Below are 7,723 nucleotides of genomic sequence, written 5' to 3'. Positions count from 1 at the left end.
GCCCTAGAAGATTCAGAGAACGTAACAAGGTACATGAACAAGAGGCCAAGGCTTAATTTTCATCTACTTTGTTTCATTTCTGCCTTGTCCTCAATTTTACAACTGATCTTCTGGAGGGTTCCCTAAGACCCACTGACAAAGGTGGATACAAATTCAGCTCTGATTTATGGGCAAATAAGTTGTTATTAGAGGAAAATGGACTGCTTCCAAACTACAATCTTTTTCAGGGCTGGCCCCGTATAAAGCAGCAGAAGGAAATACTCTCCTAATGGGAAGAGCTCAATGCCATGCACTTGGTTATTTACTTTGGAAAGATGGGGATGAGTGCAAGTATAGATTTACACCAACTCCTAGGCAGGCATGAATGGCCTATTTGCTCCAGATATATAAAGACAAACATAGGAAAATTAGAGTCAAACAGTTTAGCAAAGAGTCAAGTGAATAGTACTGACATTGGTTGCAAAATACACACATCTTTGTGTCTCACATTAATACTCACTAGAGAGCAATGTTAGAGACTCTTAACAACAAGGCGGACAGGGTTATCTTCCTAGCAGACGTCCACCAGCCTCTCTTCTCGTCAACTCCAGTGTTTCCACCATGGGTCCAAGAAGAGAGTGTACATGGTAGCACAGCTGTAAACTATGTATGGGCTTAAGAAATTGTTTCCCTTCACCACCTATAAACCTGCCAACAGAAGAGAACGACTCTGAATCCTTTATCTTGGCACTATTCCTCAAAAAGACCTCTTGGTGTCAAGTTGAATATATTGGACCCTTTCCATCCTGGAAGGTACAGCAATTTATTCTTGCTGGAAATGGCACATACCTCAGATAGGGGTTTATCTTCTTTGCCTGCTGCAGTGCCTCTGCAAGCATTACTATCTTAGGACAAAGAGAATCCCTGATTTAATGGCATAGGGTTCTATACTTCATTACGTCATAACAGAGGATCAATTTTGTGGCAAAAGAGGTGTGACAATGAGCTCCTAATCATAGAACTCACATCTTTTACAATATATTGCATCACAAACACTGACTTTCCTCATAGAATGATGGAATGGATACGACAGTCACCACTAAGAAACAGCAGAGATTAATATATATGGTAAGTTTGAAGTTCTATTTTCCAGCGTACACATTGAACCAATAGTTCATATACAGTGATAGATTCTCAGCAGCTAGAATGCTCAGGTCTGCGAACCATGTTTTGGAAACAAGGTTGGTCTCTCTAACCATTCATCCCAGAGACCTACTTGGAAAACAAAAAGGCATAAATTGTGAAGTAGATCTTTAAGAATAAATGTGAGAAGACTCACTCTACCTGATATTAAGGTGGTATACTACCCTTAAAGGACTGAGAAGATAGCATACATATATATATTATATATATATATATAAAATATATATAATATATATATTAAATGACAAATTTGGCTTATAAAGCAGTAAAGAATGAACTCTTCTTTATTGTTGTATCCGTCTGACATTAAGTTTCTTTGTAATAATATCCTCTCATTGATGTCACATAGTCAGGCATTCAGCCTCAGCTAGTGCTTAATATATTACAAGGAGCTGCTTTTTGACTTGATTTCTGATGCAGGTGGTGTGGCTTTACATTACTTGGAAATTTTTTAGAACTACAAATTCTTGAACTTCAACTTAGATCTGTTTATCTGAGGATGATTCTAATGAACATATAAGCTTGAGAACCACTGGCTTAAAATGATATCCTGGCATGCCAAAGCCTATTTAAATACTAAACATCTCACTGGAGCTTCTGTTTTTGAGGACTTTAACTCTTATTTTCTGGCACATGTGCATCTTTCCAAAGCAAATATTGTATTTGTCTCTGCCATTAGGTCTAATTAACATGACGGACCATAGTGCTAAATACTCTAGAGTTTATCCTGGGTTTTGTTCTCAATATTAATATTTTTCAAATATTTCTAATAGATTTTTAATAACCATCTGATATTACCTCATTTCTGTACATTTTTTTGCAGAAATAAATTTTTGAGTGTTATTTCATTTATACTTATGATATAGTGGAAGATGACTGGTTGTTTGTATGAAAAATATGAAATTGGATTCTTTCCACACATTAAACCACAAAACTTCATTCCAGATAGAATGTAATTTAAATGTAAAAAGCAAAATGCTAAAACTGTAAAAAAAAAAGAAGATATGATCTCAGAATAAGCAATGACATCTTAAAGATACAAAGAGCACAAAATGTACAGAAAAATATTTATAAATTTGATCATAATTAATTTAAACTTTGTCTAACTAGAGACATGATAAACAAAGTGAAAAGACCAATCATGATCTAAAAGAAGATATTTTCTACTGGGTATACATAAAACCCAGCAATAAATTATTTGATAAGAACATCTCCAATAAAAATAAACCCATAATAAAATGACAACCCAATGAGAAAATTTACAACAATAAAAACGATTAACACAGAGGATATCTGAATGAGCAGTGAGCACAGAAAATCTGTTTAACGTAGCTAGTAATCACAGAAATGAAAATTAAAACACAATTAGATGCCATTCTCACTATTGAACGGGCAAGAACTTTAAAATGTTTGAAAGTGACAAGAACCAGCAAAGACGTAGAAAAATAAAACTTGAAATTATCTCATGTTCCTGATGAAAGAGTAAAATAGCATTTTGTGAGCAATTTGCAATATCTAAAAAAACTGAAGAGGCACTGTATCATTAAAATGAATCCGGCCGCCACCCCATCTTCCACCTGCGCCCTCACCATCTCACTACATTAAAATGAAACAGTGGTATAAGTAACTGTAAACCAGATTACAATGGCTTAATCAAGAAAGAGGTTTATCTCAGACATGAAAATAAAAATTATCTGGGCAGGCATCCCAGGACTGGAGCAGAGGCTAACAATGGCCTCAAGGGATCAGAACCACTCTGTCACTCTGCCTTCCTTAATGTGCGGCTGCTGCACCTCCAGGATCATCACAATTCTGGACAAGAAAAAAGTTGGGACAATTGAACTGGCATCAGCAGTTTATGCTTGTACTGCATTGGCCAGAACTATCTCATAGATAGCTGAAAAAGGGATTGGGGTTCAGAGTAGTTTGCTTTTCAACCTTAAGATAGCCAAATGTAATGGGCTTTGAGAAGTGTTGAAAGAACCAGCCTACCATACCCACTTCATAGGTATACTTCACATGTGAATGTGTATGTGTATAAAGTATACCCACTTCAGCACCAGGTGAATGTACACACACATTCACATGTGAAGTATACCTATGAACGTGTATATACACATTCACATGGTACTTAAGTATACCTATGAAGGGGTATACTTCACATGTATATGATAGTGACTTGCTGCCTGCTAGTATGTTTTGTGTTCAGGGGACAAGCAGCAGAGGCATGACTAAGAAACTTTTAAAAAATGCGTAATCTCAGGATCCACTCAAGATCTACTGAATCAAGATCTGCAGTTTAACTGGTGTCTTGGGTGGTTCTACATGCAAATTAAAGTTTATGAAGCACCACTCTAGAGAAAGCCTGCACATGTAACAGTGTATATCTCAAAAGGAAATAATCTAAACAAATGCCCATTAATAACAGAACACAGGAATATATATTTATTCAATAGAATAGTTTACAGGGCACTTAAAAATAGTTTACAGGGCACTTAAAATAAATAGATTGACTGATGTTAATCTGGACAAATGCCAAAAATATAACATTGATTTTAAAAGAAAATGAAAAATTAAGTCAATAGTACAAGGTAGTTTGTGTATATTTTTAAGTGTACAAAACAATATTCATAAGGATATATATATACTTCTTAAAATATTTAAAAATGCATGGTTAAGTGTGCAAAACAATATTCATAAGGATATATATATACTTCTTAAAATATTTAAAAATGCATGGTTAAGTGTGCAAAACAATATTCATAAGGATATATATATACTTCTTAAAATATTTAAAAATGCATGGATGGAGAATAATCACTGACCTCATACTGGTTAACTTGGGGTAGAGAGGGAAGAAAATATGATTGAAAAAGGGACAAAGTGCTTTCAACTGTATCTGTTATATTTTACTTCTTAAAAATCTGAAGTAAATATGGTAAAATGTTAAGATGCATGCATATGTATTTACTTTGGTATCTTCAAAATCATGCTCTAAACATTTTATATGTTTAAGATATTTCATAAAATATTTTTAAAGATGAAATGAATACAACTAATTTTTTGAAAGGATAGTAATGGTGTAACTCTTTTCACACTGGCAATTTGTTTTTAAATGATCTAGCAATAGCTGGTAAAATGAATACATTATTTATGAAGATTAAGTAAGTTGGCATTAGAGTAACATTTGTAACTGGTTTTTATGATACTGAGTACAGGATATTTCAATGAATTTGAAGCTCTCTCCTGGTAATAACAGTTAGGAAACTGAAGAATATATCTAAATACATGCACCCATATTTATAGCAAGCATGCTTCAAAACTGCTAAAGATAAATGAAAAAAAAAATGCCTTGAACTTGAAAATTATGCCTGTTTTTGAAAGCAAGATGAACACCCTTGGAAACTATATGACATTCTCCCAAGTACTTGTTGTCTACCTCTCAACCACTTGCTTTGACTTTATCAGTGATGTTTATTATATGTTTGTTCCTTTCAAAACATTCTATCTGTTTGGAAAATTTGCATTCTAGTTCTTGTCATAATGTTTGCTTTATTTTTAATATACAACTTTTTCTGTGTTTTTAATGCTTAACACTAATACTAGAAACCACACACTGTTTTACACTGTAAGATGCTAATTTTTGGCATATAATACTCCTAGATAGAAACATGCCTTGTTAATAAAAATAGTGTTCACTGAACTTCTTTGCTATGTATATCATTTTTGTGTTTATTCGCCATCAGATAAGAAAACAAACAAGGAGAAAAATTAAATGCCATACTGTGAGGACACACAATGAAGACTGGAAGGAACAGAGTTTGAAACAATCTCACATGCTTTCCACTCTGTTCTCTTTGAATCTTTCGCTGTTTTTACAATATACATTAAATAAAAACAGAGACTTGTGGTTTCCTACTAAGATATAAAAATTTATTCTGATATTGGTCTCAAGTATTATTTCTTATCTTCTCCTACAATAGGTGCCAAGATGGTTTATTATTATAAGAAGCTGATCCATGGCTACTTGGCACGCACAAGTGTCTGAAGCAAGATCCAGAGAGTAATTATGTATCTAGAGCTGGCAAATTTTTAAAATGGTGAACCAAGAAGGAAAAAACTAAATTGTCATTAGTTGCACAGAATATATTTCTACTCCTAGTAAATGCAGATGGACCACTTAAGAACCAATAACAGTAATGAGTATTCAGTCAAATAGCCAGATACAAGGAAACATACCAAAATAATAGCTTTTTCAAATACCAGCAATAATAATCCAGGAACACACACACAATTTAAAATAGGAAAAAAAAAAAACCAACTAAATATTTAGGAGTAAACTTCACAAATTTGAGAAAGATATGATTGAAAAAAATTAACAAAACAGTAAAGATTTAAAAAGATACTATATTCCTGAGTAGAAAGAATCAATAATACAAATATGCCAATCATCCTATAATTAACATGCAATTTCAATGTAGTATTCTTCTACCTTGTAATATGGAGAAAATATACATGTGCTGACATGGAAATATGCTCAACCTATATTATTAGTTGGAAAACATCAAAATCTAGAATAATATCTGCTTCTTTATTAATCATCTATATTTGTAAATGCGTAGAGTACATAGAATGTGCATATGTTTTTCTTCCTTTCTCGTTATGAAAAAATGAATAATTCACATTGAATTTTTAAGATTGGTCATTGCTGGGAAGCAGGTGACAAAGGCAGCTGTATATATTATATATTTCTGTGTTGCTTGAAATTTTTATTATGGCCATATATTGATGTTGAAAAAGAAAAAAGAATAAATCAATAAAGAAACAAAATGAAGATATGCCATATGGGGGACATAAAGGAATCCTTTTTGGACAACCATAGTTGCCTTATGAAATTGTTTCAAGAAGGATGCTCACTTACATGTGGAATCTAAAAATTGGAACTTATAGAAACACAGAGAAAAATGATGATTACCAGGTGCTGGAGGAGGAGGGGGGATTGGGAAGATGTTGGTCAAAGGACACAAAATTTTAGTTGCACATGATAAATAAACGTTCAAGGGCTCTATTGTATATCATGGTGACTATAGTTAATAACAATAAATGTATACTTGAAAATAGCTAAGAAGGTAGATTTTAAGTGTTCTCACCAAAAAAGTATGTGAGGTAATGCGTATGTTAAATAGCTTAACTTAGCCATTTCACAATCTATACATACATTTCACATCTATACATAGATGAAAATATCATATTATTCACCATAAATATGTATAGTTTTTACTTGCCAATTTAAATAAAAACAAGGGTAATAAGATATGATGAATAATGGTCCCAAAGATGTCAATGTAAGAATCCCCGAAACCTGTAAATGCGTTACCTTTCATGGTAAAGGGAACATTACAAATGTGATTAATTTAAAGATTTTGAGATGGGAATGTTATCCTTGATTACATGGTGGGCCCAATATAATCAGAAGGGTACTTACAAGGAGACGAAGAAGATTTGACTACAGAGAGGGGAAGGGGAGGTGAAGACAGAAGCAGACATTGTGATATGGCCACGAGTCAAAGCATGCCAGTGCCCTCTAAAAGTTGAAAAAAGAAGCAGATTCTCTCCTGGAGCCTCCCGAAGGAGATGGTTCTGCCAACATCTTGATTTTAGTCCTGTAATAGTGTTTTGAAACTTCTGTCTTCCAGAACTCTAAGAGGATAAATTCATTTTATTTTAAGCTAGTAAGTATGTGATTATGTGTTACAGCAACAATAAAAAAAAGATGTAGGTAGAAAAATTGTATGAGACTACTCCAATATGCATTATAGTAACCAGGTACCCTACGTGGAAGACAATCTATAGCTTGATGAGATTGAGTAAGCCTAGCACTGCAAATCAAGAGGGAAAATGGAATGAGAATTACCATGATATGGTAAGGGCTAAAATTTAAAACACAAACAGAAAATTTAAATGAAAACCTGGGATAACACTGAGTCAAAAGTGAAGGATCAAGATGTTGTCAGATCAATCCAGCCATGTGATTAACAAACAGGTATTGAGTGTGTATTATGTACAAGCCTTAGGATGGAAGTGTAATGAGAAATGAACTGTGTTTTTTCAGAATTTGCAATCAGGGAAGACAAATAAGCCAATGAGTAAATTTAGATAGATGTGTGGTATGATTGCTTGCTTTGTAGATGATTACTCTGGCATCGTTGATGGGAGTTGGATTAAAAAGACAAGAAAAGCAGAAGCCTATGTTCCATGTGCAAGTCACAGGTAAGCCAAGATGAGAAAAGAGATTAAGTCAGAGCAGCTAGATGGGTTACAGGTCAAATGAATGAACTGTGCCTCTCATATCTCTTCTGAAATCCAAAGGCCTCTCAAAAGATGACCAGGGGATTTGCTCTGGAGAGCAAGACCTGGAGTGGCAGGTATTCCAGAAAGAATGATACTTTCTCCCTAGATAATATTTAATATGAGAAAAAAACAAAAATAAAAAATTACATTGAACATTTCAAACTAATATTCATAGCTCAGCTAATGCCAG

General features: G+C 33.7%; 1 long non-coding RNA gene across 2 annotated transcripts in view; it reads left to right on the top strand.

Annotated features, from left to right (window-relative positions):
- The first annotated feature begins 1,058 nt into the window (after window positions 1–1,058).
- LOC105370246 (uncharacterized) overlaps window positions 1,059–7,723 on the top strand; it is a 69,539-nt gene continuing 62,874 nt past the window's right edge. For both annotated transcript variants that reach the window (XR_002957498.1, XR_942037.1), the window contains exons 1-2: window positions 1,059–1,107; window positions 7,371–7,452. This is a non-coding gene — a long non-coding RNA (uncharacterized LOC105370246). The remainder of the gene's footprint in view (window positions 1,108–7,370; window positions 7,453–7,723) is intronic.

The sequence above is a fragment of the Homo sapiens genome, chromosome 13, assembly GCF_000001405.40.
Source record: "Homo sapiens chromosome 13, GRCh38.p14 Primary Assembly".
Lineage (NCBI taxonomy): Eukaryota > Metazoa > Chordata > Mammalia > Primates > Hominidae > Homo > Homo sapiens.
The sequence above is the reverse complement of the archived record's forward strand: the minus strand, read 5'-3'. Positions and strand labels throughout refer to the sequence as shown.